Source organism: Homo sapiens, chromosome 3, assembly GCF_000001405.40.
Source record: "Homo sapiens chromosome 3, GRCh38.p14 Primary Assembly".
Lineage (NCBI taxonomy): Eukaryota > Metazoa > Chordata > Mammalia > Primates > Hominidae > Homo > Homo sapiens.
In genome coordinates this window covers 16169415-16190107 of record NC_000003.12, presented here as the reverse complement: position 1 = coordinate 16190107, position 20693 = coordinate 16169415, and the positions used below count along the sequence as shown (strand labels likewise).

The 20693-nt window shown below is 47.3% G+C and overlaps 1 protein-coding gene across 3 annotated transcripts in view; it reads right to left on the bottom strand.

Moving 5' to 3' along the window:
• The window catches only part of GALNT15 (polypeptide N-acetylgalactosaminyltransferase 15), a 73545-nt gene extending 58117 nt beyond the window's left edge, over positions 1 to 15428 (bottom strand). For all 3 annotated transcript variants that reach the window (XM_005264852.6, NM_001319051.2, NM_054110.5), the window contains exon 1: positions 14418 to 15428. In XM_005264852.6, the coding sequence (XP_005264909.1) occupies positions 14418 to 14956 (539 nt within the window). In that variant the 5' untranslated portion in view covers positions 14957 to 15428. The remainder of the gene's footprint in view (positions 1 to 14417) is intronic.
• Positions 15429 to 20693: the final 5265 nt, after the last annotated feature.

The window sequence follows — 20693 nt, the reverse complement described above, 5'->3', positions numbered from 1 at the left end:
GGCAAGCAAATAGAGTCCCTGAAAGCGGCCAAACTGCAATTCCATTCACCTTGATAAACTTGCTCAAAAATGTGTTAGTTCAGCTGATGTTTTATCAAGTGGATAAAAGGCGAAGTTTTGGCATTGGGTTCAAATCCCAGTCTGTCCTTATGTGACCTGGGCAAGTACCATAAGCTCTCTGAGAACTATCCTTGCTTTCAACAGTCTCCAGACCAACAGACTCAGTTATACTTCAGTCACTAATTCTCATTTCTCACAATCTTTTTGACTCCATTAATCCATCTTGAACATACAATTTACTTAAACTCATGTTGCTCATCAGTAAAATGAGGTTGTTGGAAGGACCAAATGAGCTAATACATTTGAAGTACTTATGCATAGTAAGAGCCCCAAAATGCTAGCTAGCTATTGTTGATTCTTGCAAACCTCTCATGTGCCTGGATATCTTTCTAGCTTCAATTTCTTCATCTATAAAATGAGGATAACAAGTAGGGTTACTTTAAAGGGCTATGTAAAATGTTGTGTGCTTTGTCCACAGCAGGCTTTCAATAACTGGAAGCTGTTACTATTTTTCAGGTAAAAATGTGCTGACTGGCTTCTGGTATTGTCTGAACATGTCTCTGAGGATGTCCTTCAACATAGCAGAGGAACTGGGCTGGTATTCTGGGAATAACAATCACTGATATTTGTAGGATATTCTCATGCATTATCTCATTTACTCCTCATCTCAACCACTAGGGCTGGTGCATTGCCCAACACCAGTGGGTGCCATGCTCAGAGATCACCATGCACTGGTGTCTCTTGGAGTTATGCAACATGGTGGTGCTGTTCACCTCATGGATTACAGGCAAAGGAGGCCAGGTGGGTGATTGGAGTTCAGCTAGATCCCCTGTTGGACCTAATCTCCCTAGAACCCTGGCCTAACAGCAAAATGTTTCCTGTGATTCAGGCTGCCACCGGGAGCAAAGCTCTCCAATCTTCTTGCTCATCCAGTGGCTTTGGTGGCTTCCTTTTTTTGTTGTTGTTGTTAAAATGCAGGATGACTTCCCTTCAGAAGGATAAAGCTTGTAATAGAAAGCATCCAACTCCTTAGCTGATGTGAGTGTGTAAGTTTTGGGAGATGCTGAGGAGACAATAAGAAATGGTCCAGATGGTATGGCCCTACTCGCCCATGTTTGGGAACCCTGGGCTCCTCATGTCATCATGAGGACCTTGGAGAGAGAGGACACAAGGAGGGAGGTGGAAGTGAGGACAGAGAGGGAAATGGTGCTAAGGACCTGTCATCTGCTTTGCAATCTATCCACTCTTCCTCCCCCGCTCCCACCCAACCTTACAGAGCTTCAGGCACTAAGGAATGAGGGGTGGGTAGACCAGAACTAGGAGGAGGGTTTGAGCAGCAATTCAGAGAAGCCACTGGAAACCTAGGAAGCTGGCTAAGGTCCAGCCAACAAAGATCTTTGAAAGGTCCTGAACTGCATCTACACCATCCCCTCCTAGTGCTCCAACCCCTTTGTTCAGGTTTGAAGGGAGCATAAGCTCAAACACCAGCCAGGGAGATGTGACTCTTGCCCTGTGGGTGCTTCAGTGAGCCCGAGACCACATGGCCCACCTAAAAGGAACAGCTGATGTCACTGGGAGGAAATTTAGTCCAGTTTTGCCACATCTTCCTGATTTTCAGAAAAAGCCAGAAACCTGAACTGTTTCTGGGAAATATCTTAATTTTTAAATGTTGACCACTAATCCAACATTTTTAAATAAAACTGCATGGCCAAACAAACATGTCTGTGATGGGACACGACCTATGGCTGCCATTTTGTGCCAACTGAGTTCCTGTAACTTCTCACTTCCACCACTGGGGAAGATTCCTCTTCCTTCACCCACAGGCAACACTTTGCCTTCTGTGATTCTTTTCCTCTGAGACGCCCCCTTACAAGTATATACAGCCGGAGCCAGGATAATGGTCTGGGGGGAAGAGCGTGAGGCTAGATGTGCTAGATGTGCCACATGCCCTGGACGACGACCTTCCATCAGGCTCAGACCTCTGAATCCCCCTTGAGGGAATGGAGATAAGGGGCCTTGGACAAGTCTCTCCCTTCTCTCCTCTGGCCCTTGTTCCCACATCTGACACTGAGGGATTCACTGTGTAATATCTAAAGATCCTTCCACCTTTGAGTCTATGATTTGTTTTCACTGAGGGAGAATGGAGGAATAGGGTAGCACCTGTGATGCAGGTGTCTTATTAATATTTATCATAGCCACCACTTCATGAGGAGTCCTATGTACCAGGTGCTGTGCTTTAGCAGCATGAATTATTACAAGAATTATTACATTTATTCCTCCCAAATGCCCTTTGAAATAGGAATTTTCATGTGTGCAAAGATGGTCACAACATATCTGTTCATCGTGTTTCTTTATAATGTGAGTCAGCCACTCCTTGCATCAAGAAATGGAATCTATTTCTTCAGCCCCTAAGTCTGGCTGGCCTTGTGCCTTCCTTAGACCAATAGAATGTACTAGAAGTGACATTCGAGAATTCCCAAGATTAAGCCTCAAGGCCTTCCACTTGCTGTCATGAGATGCCATGTAATGAAACCAACGTAGCCTAATAGAGGATTACAGTCTGCTTGAAGAAAAACTAAAGTGCCCCAGCTGAGGACCAGCATCAGCTGCCAGGTCTGAGAGTGAGGCCATCTTAATATTCAGTGCAGTCAGCCGCCCTCTGATGGCAGCCACAGGGGTGAACCCAGGGGAGATCAGCAGAAGAACTGCCTGGCTGAGTCCGGTCCAAATTATAGAACCATAACATAGAAATGGTTATTGTTTGAAATCACTAATTTTTTTTTTGAGATGGAGTCTTGTTCTGTCACCCAGGCTGGAGTGCAGTGGCATTATCTTAGCTCACTGCAACCTCCACCTCCCAGGTTCAGGCGATTCTCCCACCTCAGCCTCCTGAGTAGCTGGGATTACAGGCATGCACCACCATGCCTCGCTAATTTTTGTATTTTTTGTAGAGACGGGGTTTCACCATGTTGGTCAGGCTGGTCTTGAACTCCTGACCTCATGATCCACCCGCCTCGGCCTCCCAAAGTGCTGGGATTACAGGAGTGAGCCACCACGCCCGGCCTGAAATCACTAATGTTTTAATAATATTTTTATTGAGATATAATTCACATACCATAATGTCCACCTTTATAAAGTGTACAATTCCATGGATTCAAGTATAAAGGTGTGCAGCCATCACCACTGTCTAATTTGAGAACGTTTTCAACACCCCACCCCCAAAAACCTACTACCCATTGGCAGTCACTTCCCACTGCTCCCACAACTACCACAGCCCGTGGCAACCACTAACCTACTTTCTGTCTTTACAGACTTGCCTACTTTGGACACTTCATATGAATGAAATGACATAACGTGGCCTTTTGTGACTGATTTCTTTCACTTATCATAATGTTTTCAAGCTTAATCATGTTGTAGTCTATATCAGTACTTCATTTCTTTTTACTGCCTAATATTTCATTGTTTGAATATACCACATTTTGTTTGTCCATTCATCAGCTGATGGACATTTGGATTGCTCCTATTTTGACTTATATTATGACTAATGCCACTATGAATATTCATGTATAAGTTTTCATGTGAACATGTTTTTAATTTTCTTGAGTATATACCTAGGACTGGTATTACTGGCCATATGATAGCTCCATGTTTAACATGTTGGGGAACTGCCAAACTGTTTTCCAAAGCAGTTGCACCATTTTACAATCCCACCAGCAATGTGTGAGGGTTCCAATTTCTCCACATCCTTGTCAGCACTTGCACTGTCTTTTACTTCAGCCATCCTAGTGGGGGTAAAATGTCATCTCATTGTGGTTTTGATTTGTATTTTCCTACTGACTAATGATTTGAACATCTTTTCGTGTGCTATTGACCATTTTTATGTCTTCTTTGAAGAAATGTCTATTCAAATCCTTTGCCCATTTTAAAATGGAGTGTTTTGTTGTTTAATTGTTGGGTTGTAAGGGTTCTTTTTGTATTTTGGATACAAATCTCTTATGCAATATAGGACTTACAAACATTTTCTTCTACTCTTGGATTGTCTTTTCACTTTCTTGATGACATCTTTTGAAGCACCAAAGTTTTAAAAATATCTATTTTTTAAAATCTACTAAGTTTTGATAAGGTGCGTTATACAGCACTAGATCATGGACACACTTTCCCATTTTTAAGATGAGGAAACTAGAGCCCAGAGAGCTTAAATGACCTGTTTAAAGTTACACGGCAAATAGCTGATAGTATATTGCTATAATCTATCATCTATCTATCTATCTATCTATCTATCTATCTATCTATCTATCTGTCTGTCTATCACCATCTTGGACTACAGTGCGAGCAGAATGTTCTGGATTCAGAGTCATAAAGGGACAATGATGGAAGGTTATTTGAAAAACATGCGATCCATCAGTTCCTCCACACATTCTGCACTGTCTACGCTGATTCCTTAAGGTCTTCAAAAGGCAACTTACTTGACCCCTCAGTCTTGGCTGCCTTACAAATGTGCTTACAGGGAGTCGTGCTTGTCATCGTGCTCTCAGCTTTCATCAGGGAACAATGCAAGAATCACTTTTAGGAAACCTGCTCTCCATTACCGAGGGAACTTATTGAGGATGTTGTCCCCCTGTCACTTGTTATCTCCACTTTGATGCTTTGGAAGAAAAGTCCTTGCAGATATAAGTGCCACAAAATACTTTCCTTCATCTGAGCAACAGTGTGCTTCCTCCTCATGAAGAATACAAATAAGAATATCGTCTTTTTTTATTTTTCAGTGTGGCTGCCAGGAAGCTCAGAGTAAGGAAACAGGATATTTATTCATTGAGGAGGCTCTAGACAGGACTGCCTATCTTCATTCTGATTTTCTCTTTAATCTTCACCTTCCATCTCTCTATCAAGTCATTTAACAGATATTTATTGACAGCCTATTATGTGTTAGGACTGAAAGATGAATGAAATAGACATGATGCCTGACCACAATCTGTGGTGCCCCTGCCCATATCCTCTTGGGCCATCTCATTATGATACAGGACGGCCCAACTTCTAATGGCCCTAGGGCTTTCTCTGGCTGACCAGTGTGATTTCCCCAGTCAGAGCATCCCTGAAGAGCTGGAAAATTAACCCCTACCCCACCCCAGTGAGCTGTGCTCAGCCAGTGATTGAAAAGAGTTGGTTTATTAAACACCCAGCACCCTCACCCCTAAGGGCAGAGGGTAGGAAGCGCTGAGATGCATGCATGTTCTACACTGTCTCCAAGGGCTGAGCTCCAGCTGCCCACAGAGGTAGCTGCCTTGAACACATGCCTCTCTCAGGCATCTCTGCTCCGCTTTCCTGAGCCCCTACCCGTGCTTCTTGGGATAACCGGCAAAATGAAGCCTTCTTTCAGGATCTTCTTTAGGGGAAACCTAAACTAAGATAGCCCCTAATAGCATGGAGTTTATGTCCTATTAAACATAACCAAATCATTATTCAGCAGCTGTAGTGAGACGTTCTGGATGTAGGGACGTGAAATCAAAGCCAAGACCTGAAGGGTGGGTAGGACACAGCCCAGAGAGAGAGTGCAGGTGGGGAATGAATGACATGCCTGGCAGGTGTCACAGCCTCTGCTAAGGCCCAGAGGTGGGAAAGGGCTGGCATGTACCAGGAACTGAAGGAAAGACATTCATAGCATTGCTGAGCCAACCAATGAGGCAGAGCATGGCAAAGGCTCTTGAACATCATAAAGCAAGGCCCCAAGTGACTAGGGACTTATGCAGAGGATCCAGGAAGAAATGTATGTTTTTATTGTTAAATAATGAGGCTAACTTCTCTGCTTCAACGAAATATCCGGTGAATATTTTACTATCTCGGTTTGTATGTGTCACTCAAGTGTCCAAAACCCCACCCCTGACCTCCTTTGTTCATCCTTTGAGTGGGAGCAGCGGGACAGGAACAACCAAGGGCTTTGGACTCAAATCAACCTGGGCTTAATCCCTAATTAGCCAACACAGGGATGTTGATACCTTTCTCCAGCCCAGGGGTGTGTCCTGGATTGAAAGGGATAATCTTAGCCTAAGAGAGCTGTTCTGCAGGCTAGCTTTATATCTTCACACTCCAAGATCAGAGGAGTCTGGTGTCTTGTGTTTACATACAGATGCACACCCTCTTTTCCTGCAGCTCCAGGATCCCCTGTGAACTTGGAAAAATGCATTTGGATGATGGCTCTGAAGAGAATGAGTCACAGCATTGCACCAGATGGCCTGGCTGTAGTACTGACGCTCTTCCCTCCCTCCCCTTGCCTGGCCAGAGTAGAAAGGTTTCTGCCAGGTTTCCTAAAGCTGTTTTGGGGATACTGACTCCCAGTTCCTATCAAATCAGTGGAGGCGCCCCACTCGGATAGGCTTCTCTATCTCAGCCCTGATCCCACTGATGTACCAGCCTGTTTGCTTGTCTGCATCCCCCAGTGCACCCCAAGCTTCTTGGGGTTGGGGCTGGGTATTGCTTACCTTCTTACTTCTGATAGTTGTTCAATAGCTATTTGTTCACTGAAGGAAGAAAGACACTGAACTTGTTCTCAGGAAGTGTGTAAGTTGGTTGTCAAGATTAACAGGGGAGTAATCCCACAGAGCCAAGTTCCTCCATTGCAAGAAAATCCTAGCTTGCCTGTAATTGGTGGCACTTATCTTGGGAACACCATACCAACTTCTAGGCCAGGCCTGAGGCTGCTAGGGCTGGGACACAGCCTGGAGCTGAGGCCTTAGAAGAATGGATGAAGAAGCTTGCAGACAAGAGAGATGGGAGGAAAGGGCTGGAGTCTGCAGTGGAGGCTGATTCTGCCAGCCTGTCATTCTCCATCAGTGGACAGACGTCACAAGGTACATGCCATCCCCTTCTCTTTGTGCAGGTTCTCCAAACTCTCACAGCTCACTTCTGGAGGGGTTCAGGGGATCCTTGGCTTGCTCTGATCCTGGCATCTACCTCTGAACCAGAGACAGGCACACACTGGGAGTCACTGGTCTGAACACTGACCGGAGGCCTATGAAGCATCTTGGAGCCATAGTTCCACCTAACAGGGACAGCCTCCCCAGGCTAGCGGCCAGAGAAACCTGCCAGATCCTCCATCTCAAGAAGTGTGAGCTTTAGACATGCAAAAAGTGAGCAGTTGATAGCAGGTCATAGAGCAGACAGTAACCCAAAGACGGGGTGGTAGAAGCCAAGACGTAGCTCAGTGCCTCTCCGGTGTCCATATGCCCTTGAACCATCCGGGACCTCATTAAATGTAGACTTAGGTCAAGTAGGTCTGGGGTGGGGCCTGAGATTCTGCATTTCTGGTGAGCTCCCAGGTAATGCTGATGCTGTTGGTTCCTGGACCACAGTTAGAGTAGAGGGCAGTGGTTGTTAGTGACAAGACAATAGGAGGTGAGCTGACAGATGTACAGAATACTTGGCCAGGTTCTAGGGCCCCTACTGCTGCAGGATGTCAGGAAGGCCAAGTCCCCAAAGGAACTGTGGATCGTGGGTCTCCCTCCTGTCCACCTCCTTCAACCTTGTCTGGACAGTTCCCTGTTCCTTACTTACTTCCTGTGTAAACTTGCAGTAACTCCATCACCTTAAGTGACTTGAGCATCTCTGTTCTTAGTCACCTAAAGTGGCCTAAGCAGTGGTCCTCAGCCTGGTTACACATTAGAATCACTTAGAGAGTGAGTTCCTGTGAATCACATTTACTTGGTCTGCTTTGGAGCCTTGACATGACGACTCATTGGTTCTAATGTGAGTGGGGGCTGTGAACCACTGGCCTCATAATGGCTCTCAAACTTTAACATGAATGGAAATCACCTAGGGATCCTGTTAAAGTAGAGATTTCATCTAGTAGGTTTAAGTGGGGTCTGAAGGGTCTGCATTTCTGAGGCTGCAGGTCTGAGGACCACACTGTGAGTGGCACTGGAGTAAATAACATCAATTCCTCCCACCCCAGGACAAGGTGCAGATTAACCACATCTAATCTAACCCCCAAGGCCAGCTGGGTTTGTCCTGAAGTGCAGGGTAAGACCCTACCACACTTGTTACCATGAATGCATTTGACCCAAAAAAGGGCGCTATATAGTCAGCTCTGTCTACGCTGCAACCCCACTGCGGGGTGATGGATCCAGAGTGGAGGTCCAGAGGAGGTACTGCCTCTGCTGCGGCCACTGTGGACTCGAGGGCTGGAAGGTTGGTGTTTGTGGCATCCCTTCACGACTTGGACAGCCAGGCCCCATAAGCACCACTCACACTGCCCATACTGGGTTGTCTTCCCTCTCTTGTGGGGGGAATTGAGCTAAGTTCCAGCCCCAGGTCTCAAGCCCAGCTTGTTCCTGTTCTTGTCCCTCATCCCGAAGGGCATGTCTGCTCTCTTGGATTTACTGATGCCCTGTCAGCTGCCTCCTTCCTCTTTTGCAGGCCAGGCTATCACAGCCAACAAGGGGTGTGGGGAGTCATCTTGGGGTGAATCACGGCCTGGCAGGACAGAGTCTTCACAGGGAACTGAGTGGACCCCGCGTGGATTGCAACACCATCTTCTACTTGACAACAAAGCTGCAGCCAAGGCGACTCTCCCGCCCCTGCCCTTCCCTCTGACCCCTTGCCCATTATGGCCTCTGGGGCAGGAAGTGGGGAACAAAGCAGAAGATATCCCTCCCAGCTCTCCCCACCAGCTGTGAAGAGCCATTGACCACCTGGGGCCTTGCAGCCTGGCTTCACGATAGAACCACCTGGGGAGTTTTAAGCTCTTGGTGCCCAGGCCTCACCCCAGACCAACTAAATAGAAATCCTTGGAAGTGGAGCATGAGTATGAATAGTTTTTAAGACTTTCCAGATAATTCCAATGTACCTGCACATTTATGATGATTTAGCAGCCTCCAGGGCCAGAAAATAACTTTTCAGTCAGAAAAAGGACAGCAATATGATATCCACAGCTCCATTTTTCTCCATCACTCCAACTTACTCCTAGGCCATTTACTCAAGAATATGATAAGGGCAACTTCTGTTTGGACTTAATACACAAGGAAAATCATCACACGTTGTGTCTCATTTTCTCTACAACCTTATGCAAGGGTGTTATTATTATCCCATTTTACAGTTGAGGAACTGAGGCTCAGAGAGGTTGAGTGACTTGTACAAGGTCACACAGTAACAGGTGGTACCAGGATTCAACCACAGGTCCACAACTGTTTAATCACAGCTATGGGTACATAAACCAGGGAAACACAGGCTGAACCATAAAGGCAAGTTAAAAGCAGGTAGCACACAGCCAGCTACCGCTGAGTTGACATTTATGTTTAGGGACAAACTGCCGGGGCCATGAGGGAGCCTGTTCCTCTCTGCTCTCTTTTCTATTTTCTGACTCTAGTATTGCTTCCTACGTGGAAACTTCCCAAACTCTACCAGCTCTCCACTCGCTTTCTCTACCAGTAGTTCCCCAGACTATCTAGCATCAGCTTAAAAAAATTCTGATTACTGGGCTCCAACTCAGAACTCTGGAGCATTGCCAGTGAGGGGGTCTGAACATCTACGTCTTTTTAACAAGCAATATAGGGGGGTTGGGTGTGCACATACTTTTGGGAAGTCGTGGTGTAACTCCTCACTGTTGAAAAATGTGCTCTGTGGGCCAACAGTGCTGGTGCCACCTTGGAGTGCCTTTGATAGAAATGGAGCATCTGAGGCTGCCCTCCTGACCTGCTGAATTTGACTGCATTTTAACAGGATGCCTAGAAGATTCGCATGCACCTTAAAGTTTGAGGAGCACTGCTCTGGCCAGTCTGTTCGGCATAAAGAGTGTGCCTTAGAGCAGAGGTTCTCAAAGTGTCTCTGGATTGGGAGCAGCAGCAGCAGCAGTACCAGGAGTTTGCAGAAATGCAAATGTTGAGCCCCACTTCACACCCACTGAATCAGAAACTGGAGGAATGGAGGCCAGGAATCTGTATTTTTAACAAGCCATCTAGTTGTTCGGATGCACGCTCAAGTTCAGCCGTAGATGTAGATTACAAAGCACTGGCTCACACAGCAGCCTCTTTGATCCTAGGAACCCATTGCCCCTGCACTGGATACCAGGATGATCAAAGGAGAGCTGGGGCCTGGAAGAACTTTGAAAACCATCCGTGCTACAGGAGGCTAAATGGGCCGGGCTTGTTCCTCCCGCCCCTTCTTTGACAGCAGCTTTGAAGGGCTGAGTTAATCCCGTTCCTGTTTGCGGTTCCATCATGGGCTCTTCTCTATTTTGCCTCAGTATTCATTCAGTTTTATCCCCACCTCTGCCCCGAGGACCCTCCCTTTCCCACAGCACAACCATTTCATTGAGTTTGTTCTGTTCCTGTAAAGAATGGATTGGTTAGTTTGCATGGATTTACATTTCCCCTAATGATACAGTGCTGTAGGCCGCTTTCTGTGCCTTACTTTTTCACTCAGCAGGGGATTTTTAGGGTCTCCCTTCATTGTTGAATGTACCCAGAGTCTGTTGCTTCTAACTCAGGCTGAGTATCTCATAGGGTGCACCCAGCTCCTCCTGCCCTGTGACAAGACATCCTGGTGGCTTCCAGCTCCTCAGCACCATCAAGGATGCTGTGATAAGCATTTCCGCAACTGTCTCCCCATGGACCCGTGTGAGTTCTCCCCATTTTAAGATGAAAACACTTCCAGCCCATGTGACTTGCCCAATCTCTGGTCTGGAGAGTGGCAGACTGGCAAAGTGTAGTGTGGTGGTTAAGAGTATGACTTTGGTGTCAGACTCACCTGGTCAGATAACCTGGCACCAGTCCCTCCATCTTTCTGTGCCTCAGTTTCCTCATCCATGAAATGAAACCTACCTTAGAGGTTTTCTATGAAGAGTTGAAAACAAAAACCACTTAGCAGAGCCTCTAGCACATAGTAAGTGCTCAATAAATGTTCACTGTAATTTTGCCTCTCTTTTCAGAGACTGTCTTTTGACCTCTTTTCCACTGATATTTTTCTTTTTTGCTCTTGCATCATTGGTAATTTTCCTCAAATGCCACCTATTCAAACTGACCTCCAGAAATGACTCTAAAGGTACTCAGAAAAAGGCCTGTGGCCTGGGCAGGGGGGAAAGGACAACAGGCAGAGCTAGTTTGGGCATTTGGGTGTAGGAACTGGGCCAGAGGGGCTTGTCTGGCTTAGGAGTCAAGGATGGAATTGCAAGGGGATGTGTGGCTGGCGATAGCACGGGGTGCGCTACAGCCCGAGGCACAGGCTCCTGATGTCCTAGCGCTCTGCTGGTCCTGGTGGGAAAGCAGCGGTGCAGGGCCCGCATACTGCAGGCACTTAATATATGCCTGTTTCTCTTCTGTGTTGTATTGTGGCCCAGATTTAAAGGGGTAGGAGCCGAAGAGTCCTGTCACCCTGGGGGGAGGGTGGAGATCGTTTGCCTTGCTTTGCAGGGACTCTCTTGTGCATGCAGGCGAGGAATCCAGTTAAGGGAAGGCGCCAGAGCTTGAACCGCAGACTGGAGAGGGGAGTCTGCAGCCAAGGCCTGGGCTGCGCAGGCCGCACGCACCAGCCGGGGCCAGCAGAGGGCGCTGAGCACCTCCGCACAAAGCTGGCGGCCGTTCCGTGAGAACCCTGGCAAGCTGGGGATTGGAGAATCCAATCGTCTCCCTTCGCAGGGGTTGAGGAGTTTCCTCCCGACTGCCTGGGACCTTCAGTGCTAAAATCTGGGAAGTCTCAGGCAAGTCAAGACGAGTTGGTTACTCTGGCTGGAAGAAGCAACCACTGAAGTGTTGCACACACACATAAACGCACACGTGCACATCAAACACACACAGCACAAAATGTACCCACACTTGCACCACGCAACTCACAGTGCACATCACACACTCATGAACATCACACTACATGCATAACATACACAACATGCCTGCACATATACACATGTATCACTCACACCTCACATGTATAACATACATGCAACACACAAAGAATACATACGCACACATGTACCACAAAACATGTAAAACAAACACTACAGCACACACAGGCACAGTACATGCACAGTACATGTGCACATCACACCACATGCACAAGATACGCAATACACACGTATTACACCCATGCACACTACACACACAGCACACACAAATACGTGCACAGCACACACACCACAAAATTTACCTGCACTTGTGCCACATACAACATATCCATGCACTTTATACCACATGCATAATAAACACAACACACTTGTACATATATGCATATCCCATTCACACAATGCATTTATAGCACAATGCACCACAGAAGCACATCATACACAAGAAACACAGTTACAACACAATACCTGTGCACACATGCACCACGTGAACATATGCAAAACAAATAGCAAACTGCAACACACACCCAGATGAACAATGCATGTGGCATCACCCCAATACACAATACATATATGAACCATGCACATAATACATGCACATTAACACACATGCACACAAGATGACACATTGCACAATGCATAGCTGTGCATATCATATCACATACACAAAGTAACATGCACCAAGCATATAGGCACCACATAACGCAGTACCTGCATGTACTACACATACATGCACGACATCCATTTAATACACATAATGCAATGCACACACAACACAGAGAATATATACAACACACATGCACGAACATACATATACCATGACCCACAAATATGCATATTCACCACACATTTGCACTATGCAAACACACAGTCACACACACAGACCACTTTGGTAGCCACAGACCCTCTCGTTTCAGGCAATATTATTTCTTATCGGCAAAAAGAGGATGCTCACTCTTGCTCCAGGCCAGTGAAAAATAGTGTCAAAAAATTTGAAAACTATGTTTGTTCATTCAGCAATCACTTCTTTACTGCATGTTGGGCTTTGGGATGTACAATACAAACTCAGTCCTGACCTTCTAAGGGGCTCACAGCATAGCAGGGAAAGCAGGCATTCGACTGATAAATACATCAATAATCATTTGGCTTTAGTTTTGTAAGTGCTGTGAGTTAAAACTCCAGGGTGCAAGGAGGGCACAAAACTAGAATGGGGTGGGAATTTCCTGAAAATAGCTTTTAAAGGTAAGGCTTGAAAACAGTGTAGCGGGTTTGAAATGGAAGTAGGGTGCGGTGAGTGAGGCACCCGGGGCACACAATTTAAGGAGATGTTCACTCCCGGCTGCTGACCCTGCAATTGCACACCCTCGAGTGTGAGTGGCTGAGCAGCCAGGCTGAGGGGAACTAGATCAGGGATCCGAAGAGTGTGTGGCCCTGCTTCCAACTGCTGCCCTGCACAAATGTTTGCTTTCCAGGAAACTCTCCAGGCTCTGGGAGGAGCAATGGCCTATAGGAAAAGGGACCTAAATCACCAAACTAAAACTAACAAGCTGCCTTGCTCCCTGGATGCTGGTAACCAAGGCTCCCTCCTCAGTGGTCAGCCATGGTGACAGTAAGGGAGCAGGGGGTGTGGAGGATGGGCCAGCATCTCCCTGGGCACAGCTCTGCCCATCACCTACACTTCTCAGCTTACCTCCTGGGGCTGGGGCTGCCCTGGCAGGGTAAATTGCAGTCAGCACAGTATTCTGGCTCTCAGGCACTGGACCTGTTTCCTTAGTCTAGTGGCCCAAGGCAGGTGGCATGGAGTGGTGGGTCAGGCAGACTGGAGCTCACATGCCTGCATTCAAATCCTGACTTTGTTACCTACTAGCAGCGTGACTGGGAAAGCAACTTCACCTTGTTTTCATACCTATAGAATAAGCATGATGATACTACTAGCACCCATCTTGCAGAGCTGTGAGGACTTTCCAGGACTTTATGAGTTAATACATTAAAAGCTTGTAAAGTAAATCCAGACGCATGGGAAGAGCCCCCTAAATGTAAACTGCAATTGTTATTTTGATCCAAACTAAAAGCAAACACTAACAATAACCCTAAAATCAAAATGTAGTGGAGTCAGAGTGTTAGAACTGGCAAATGTCTGCTCTAACCTCCCTTCTGTGTTATAGAAATAAAGCCATTTGACCTAAAGACAGAAGAACTAGAACCCAGGACGGAGAAGAGAATGAACAAGCAAGAGTCCTCACTTTCTGCTTTCTAGGACAATGATTCTCACCTGAAGGGCTTGTTCATACAGACCACTGGACCCCACCCAGAGTTTCTTGTTTGGCAGGTCTGGGATGGGGTCTGAGAATCTGCATTTCTGAGAACCCACCAGTGCCCAGGGGCTGCTGACGCTGCTGGCCCAGGTACTGCATCTTGAAAAGCACTTGCTCTAAGTCAGGAGAGGCAGGCTACGGAAAGTTTGCATTCCCGAGTTTGCTACCACCCGATCATGCCCTGGGATCAGGGAAGGGAAAACAAGGGCCTTACTTACAGTGGGTGCCGCACCTCGGGCAGAGCCCTCTGGAGGGGGATGCGGGCACTGAGTGCCTCCTGGAGGCCACGTGGGTCCAGGCTGAACGGGGTCAACTCCTCTTCTTCAGACACCTCCCCGTCCTCATCAGCCCCCCAGTCCCTCTTTGGGGCTTCCTTATCCTGCCTCCTTGGCTGCTTGATGAGGCGGTAGCTCCCACCTCTCCTGCCCTGGCTCTGGTTCCTTCTGGCCTGGGGTAAGGCCACGGCCACCAGCAGCTGATCCTCCCGCAGTGAGATAAAGGGTGGCAGGCCCTCCAGAGGGCTGTACTCTTCACCCTCATCCTCAGCTTCCAGTACCCAATCCTGGGATTCCCCAAAGTCCAGGCGGTACCTGGCTTCAGGGCTGTGCTTGCTGGCTTGGGCTGTGACAGTCTGGTGCAGGGTGTGGTGGGGAGGGTGCAACATCGCCACCATCATCAGGACGCATCCCAGCATCAGGAGCAGCAGGAGGAACTGGAGTCTGCATGGTCTGTGCCTGTATCGCTTCCTTAGGAGCATGTTGCTAGAACTTGCCAAATGCAACAGGTCATGTTCAAGTTAGCTTTCTCCCGCTCCAGGCTCCTTCAAGCTTGCAGCAGAACCTGGGTTGCTTGTTCCACCTGGAAGTTTTTCTGCCAGTCACTTAACCTGGTCCTGACATTTGCCAACAGCGTGTGCAAGACCTGCTTCCACTTACAATCAGAAAACCACAGGACCCAAGTTTCACCCCAAGTCCTCTCTGAGTGGATTTCTTTAATTGCCTTCTGAAAGCCCATTCACAGGGACTTCAAATTGAATTGCTTCCCTCCCTTTACCCCGGTTTTCTCCTTGGGAAAAAAATAATGATTCCATTCTGCTCAGGTGTTTCTTTCCCCCTTTGTATAAATAGGTTGCTATGAGGTGTCTGGGATGAGCTGGTGGGTTCTCAGTCAAGCAGGGCTGACAGCCGTCCCTCTTTGGACGCTTCCAGTCAGGTCAGATCAACAGATGTAAAGCCGGCAGGCAGTGCCTGGTTTCCTTTCACACATAGCTCCACTCAGCCGAGAGCCCTCTGCCAGACACAACCCAGAGCCAAGCGTGCGCGTCACTCCTGGTCCTAATGCCCTCACTGTTCCCAGGCTTTGCACAACTCGGTGTGGTCACTGCTAGAGCCAAATCAAAACAGGAATATCCCAAGAGTTCAGAAGGAAAGACTAATACCCTCTGATTCAGAAAGGCTGTGTGTGTGGCATAGCTGCAAGGAGCTGCAGCTGTCTGTTTGCAACCTCAGCCTCCCATGGGGGATCAGGCAAACTAGGTTGGACTCTCCTTCCCTTCCTGGGGACCACTGTCCCTGGCCTCCTGAAAATGAGGGAGCTAAGGGAGATGATCTTGCAAGTCCCTTCTTCTCCCACAAGAGCAGCTGAATGCCTGCTCTGCCCTGGCCACCAAGGGGGACGCTGGAAGAGGAGTGGCATGCTCTTTCCCTCATAAAGCTTCCTTCATTTAACCAACACATAATTAATGAACACATGCTATGTGCCAAAATTGTTCTGGGAACTGGAAGTAGAGCAATGAATAACACAGACAAAAATGTGTGTCTCATGGAGCTTGCATTCTAGTGACAGATACAATTAAAACTATCCACTGGGTCAGATAGTGATGAGGATGAAGGCAAAAAAGCAGAGCAGGGATGGGGCTGGGGAGCATGGGCTGGGCTTGGAAATGGACATTGAGTGGTGGAGAAAGGTTTCATGGAAGAGTTACCATTTGTGTAAAGGAGAGGGCTGCACAGCTATTTGAGGTTGAGTGTTCGGGGCAGACAGAATGATAAATGTGAAGGTTCCAAGGCAAGAGTATGCTGGCATGTCTGAGGAACAGCCGGCATGGCTGAAGCAAAGAGAGCAGGGTGGAGCCTGATGGGAAGTGGAATAAGAGAGGCAAGGGGGCGGGGGGCAGGAGGACCATGCAGGACACCCCCTGGTTGCATTGAAGGAACTTTGGCTTTTCCTCTGAGTGAGAGGGGAGCCCTTAGAGGAGAGACACAATCTGACTTGGGTTTTAACTGGATCATTCTGGCTGCTGGGTTGAGACTAATCAGTGGGGGGCAAAAAGCAGGAGCAGGGAGACCAACCAAGAGGTTCTTGGCTTGCACTAAGTGGCATCGGTGGTGACAGGGGTCAGCTTGTGGATATACTTTAAGGAAGAACCTATAGGATTTGCTGATGAATTAATGACTAATGTGAGAGGAAGAGAAGAGTCAAGATGAGTTCAAATTTTTGTTCTGAGTAGTTGGAAGAATAGACTTGCCATTAACCAAGATGGGGAAGGAGAGAAGGTGGAAGGAGATGAATGCATGCCAGTGGCTTGATTTGGAACATGTGACATTCGAGATGTCCTCTAGACAGCTAAGAGGAGATGAAGTGAAGGCAGCAGTTGTAGGATAGCTGAAGGTCAGGGGGAGGTCTGGCCTGCATATACAAAGCTGGACTCCAGCAGCACTCAGATAGTGTTTGAAGCCGTGAGACCTGAGATCACTGAGGGAGTGAGGTAGGTAGAAGGGAGAAGAGAATCCAGCATGCTCAGTTTTCAGGCTTCTGGCTTGAACAGGTTGAAGGATAGCTGACCATCACCATGAGCAGTGTTTCTTCTGATGGCTGTAAAGCAGCCATGCTGTCTGCAACCAAGAGTGGAGGGGGGAAAACTGCCATTGGGGAAGTCCTGCAATGAACTTGCTCATTGTTTTTGTCTTTATTTTGATCTTAGAATGTCAGCTAAAATGTTTGTGGAAAAAAATGTTTTACCTTTTGACTCAGTTGTTTCTTCCAGTGTGTGTGGTGTGTCTGTGCACACTCACGTGCACAAGCATGTATACACGTGTGTTTTCATGAAGTCAGAGGTGAAATAGTGGGTTATGTGTGGTTGTTCTCCTGGAATCCCATTGTAATGCCCCAGTGGACAGTGCTTAGCAATTTCTGGATTGAATTGTGTCTTCCAAATCTCAAATCACGGTGTATTGCCAGGTGGGAATACTGTGTCATTTCCAAATTCAAGAGGCAGACACCCTGGGAGATGTAGTTCAGAATATCTGGGGACATTTTGAGGTTAATGAGGATGAAGGATTAGAAGGTTCCAAATCCAGGAGGCCTTCAGAAAACTGAGTGTGCAGAGTCACCATCTTCCACTCATCTCTAGCAACGCTGTGCTTGAACTTACCAAGAACAGCCCACCCCAGGGCTGTCACCCTGGCCAGCCCACTGCTTGAGCACTCTTTCCCCAGAAAGTCATCCATATGGCTCATTTCTTCATTTTTGTGTTCCCCAGAAAGTCATCCATGTGGCTCATTTCTTCATTTTTGTGTTCACTCCAATGTCACCTATTTAGTGAAGGCTTCGTGGACCCCCCATTCTACATTGAAACCCCTCATCAACATGGGGCTTTCTTTGAGAATCTCTGTGGCTCTTCTCAACACCTGGAAAATTAAAATACTAAGGTGTTTATTGTCTGTTTCTCCACCCACTCCCATAAAACATAAGCTCCACAAGGGTAGGGCTTTTGTTTGCTTGTTCACTGCTGTTTTTCCAGAGTACACAAAGCACATTTTTCCACTCCCCAGGCCTTTGCTGCTGTCCCTGACAGCTTTGCTGCCAGTTCTTCCCATCCCCCACCATCACTTGGCACATGAGGCCCAGACCTTGCTCCCTTCTCCTCTCTTTCTCACCCTTGCTCCTATCATGGGTTGAATCGTGTCCTCCAAAATTACACTGAAGCCCTGCCTCTGCTGGGGAACCTGTGAAGGGGGCCTTGACAGCAAATAGGATCTTTGTAGATTATCAGGTTAAAAGGAGGTTGTTAGGGTGGGCCCTAATCTAATATGACTGGTATTGTTACAAAAAGGGGACAATTGGGCAGAGACAGGCATACACAGAGAACATCATGTGAAGAAGAGGGCAGACCTGGGTGACACATCTAAAAGCCAAGGAATATCAAAGATGGCCAGGAAATCACTGATAGCTAGGAGAGACATGAAACAGACTGTCCTTCACAGTCCTAAGAAAGAACCAGCACTGCCAACACCTTGATCATGGACTTCTTGTTGCTACAACTGTGAGATCATACATTTCTGTTATTTAAGCCACCCACTTGTGGGACTTTGTTATGGCAGCCGCAGGAAACGGATACAGTTCCTCTTGCCCTCCCCACCCTCCCACCCTCCTCTGCCTTCTCTCAACTCTTGCTCTAGCTCTGTCATTTCCATCTCTCCTTCTCCCATTCCATCTCCTTCCTCAACCTCTAGTGAGGTTAGGCATCACACTAACCTCCTCAGCCCATGGCCTTCCCATGACAGAGACAGCCCATGAAAAAAGGCTCCCAAAAGAACTGGGGCTGGGTGACTCTGGCCTGGGATTCTTGGCTCCAGTTCAAGATAAACTAGATCTGGTGAAGTCCCAGATGCAGGCCGTGGGTCTCTCCTGGGACTCAGAGCATTGTTGATCTAACCTCCAGGCTGTCTCATTGCTCAGAGAGGTGAGATGATCAACACCCCAATTAGACCGCCACTGGGGTTTCTGTATGTTTCTCTCTTTAGCTTTTCATCTGTCTGTTTTCTCATAAGCCATGGCAGCTTTGGTGTTAACAATTCTGCTGTTTTCCTAGAAAAAAATGAAATTTTTCTGTTCAGATGGATGGCAGGTTAAAGTGCCAGAACAAATCAGAGACTGAGAGTATTCATGAAAGGAACAGTAGACATCAGCTAGTGAAAAACAAAAAATTCTGCAAAGCAATAGCAGACCTGGCCCAAGCAATTCAAGAAGATGTCATCAACGGCCCAGTCGCTGTTCTTCCCATCTCAAGCTGAGGTGAAAAGAGCAAGAATAAGGGAAGCTAGAGAGGCAATTCCCCAAATAACTTAACCCCAGGCATTTTTTTGTTTGACTTGGTGCTATGGTTTGAATGTTTGTTCCTCCAAACTTCATGTCGAAATTTAATTCCCAGTGTTAGAGGTGGGGCCTAATGGGAGGTGTCTGGGTCATGAGGGTGGATCCTTCATGAATAGGTGAATTTCCTGCTTGGAGCAGAGGGAGACCGGGTGAATGAATTCTCACTCTGTTGGTTCCTGTGACATCTGGTTGTTAAAAGGAGGCTGGCATCGCCCCCATTTCTTGCTTAATCCCTTTCTCGCCATGTAATCCCTGCAGGTGCAGGTTCCCCTTTGCCTTCCACCATGAATGGAAGCAGCTTGAGGTCCTCATCAGAAGCAGATGTTGGCACAGTCTTCTTGTACAGCCTGCAGAAGTGCAAGCCAAATAAACTTCTTTATAAATTACCCAGCCTCAGGTATTCCTTTACAGCAACACAAATGGACTGAGACAGCTATAACACACAGTGATGGCTGTTTGCTTTTTGGTCTCCTCCATTAGTGGTTGTTCCGTCTTTGTCTCTCTCACACTCAGCACAGTGCCTGGCCCGGCAACACATGGTTGTCCAATAAATGACTCTCAGAGATGAGTGATATGATATACACTATGCATTATGCAATAAATAAATTCTTAACAACAAGGTAACACCCTAGGACCTCAGAAAGGGAAGAAGGGAAATGGATGGCATGCAACCACTTATGCAAATGACCAACCCCAACTCCTCCCTTCCCTCAGTCTGCCCAAGGTAGCCTAGCCCACTCTCTCTTTCCTCTTTCATGATCTGGCTATGGATTTTATTGTGAAGGAACAGCACTACAGAGTAGGATCTTACTGTGTGTCTAAATGGCACAGAGGCAAGCATGGGCAGGGAATGGCTTTTACACAGGGCTAACATGAAGAGGCCTGGTGTCCGCAGTGCCTGAAGTGCCTTCTCTGTGCACAGCTATGACCAGCAGGGCCATCACTGAATGCAAGGGCATATTAATCCATTTTCATGCTGCTGATAAAGACATACTTGAGACTGGGAAGAAAAAGATGTTTAATGGACTTACAGTTCCACATGGCTGGGGAGGCCTCATAATCATGGTGGAAGACAAGGAGAAGCAAGTCATGTCTTACATGGATGGCAGCAGGCAGAGAGCGAGAGCTTGTGCAGGAAACTCCCACTTTTAAAACCATCAGATCTCATGAGACTCATTCACTATTGTGAGAACAGCACAGGAAAGACCCACCCCCATAATTCAATCGCCTCCCACTGGGTTCCTCCCAGGACACATGGGAATTGTGGGAGTTACAATTCAAGATGAGATTTGGGTGGGGACACAGCCAAACCATATCAAAAGGTAACCAAGAACAAA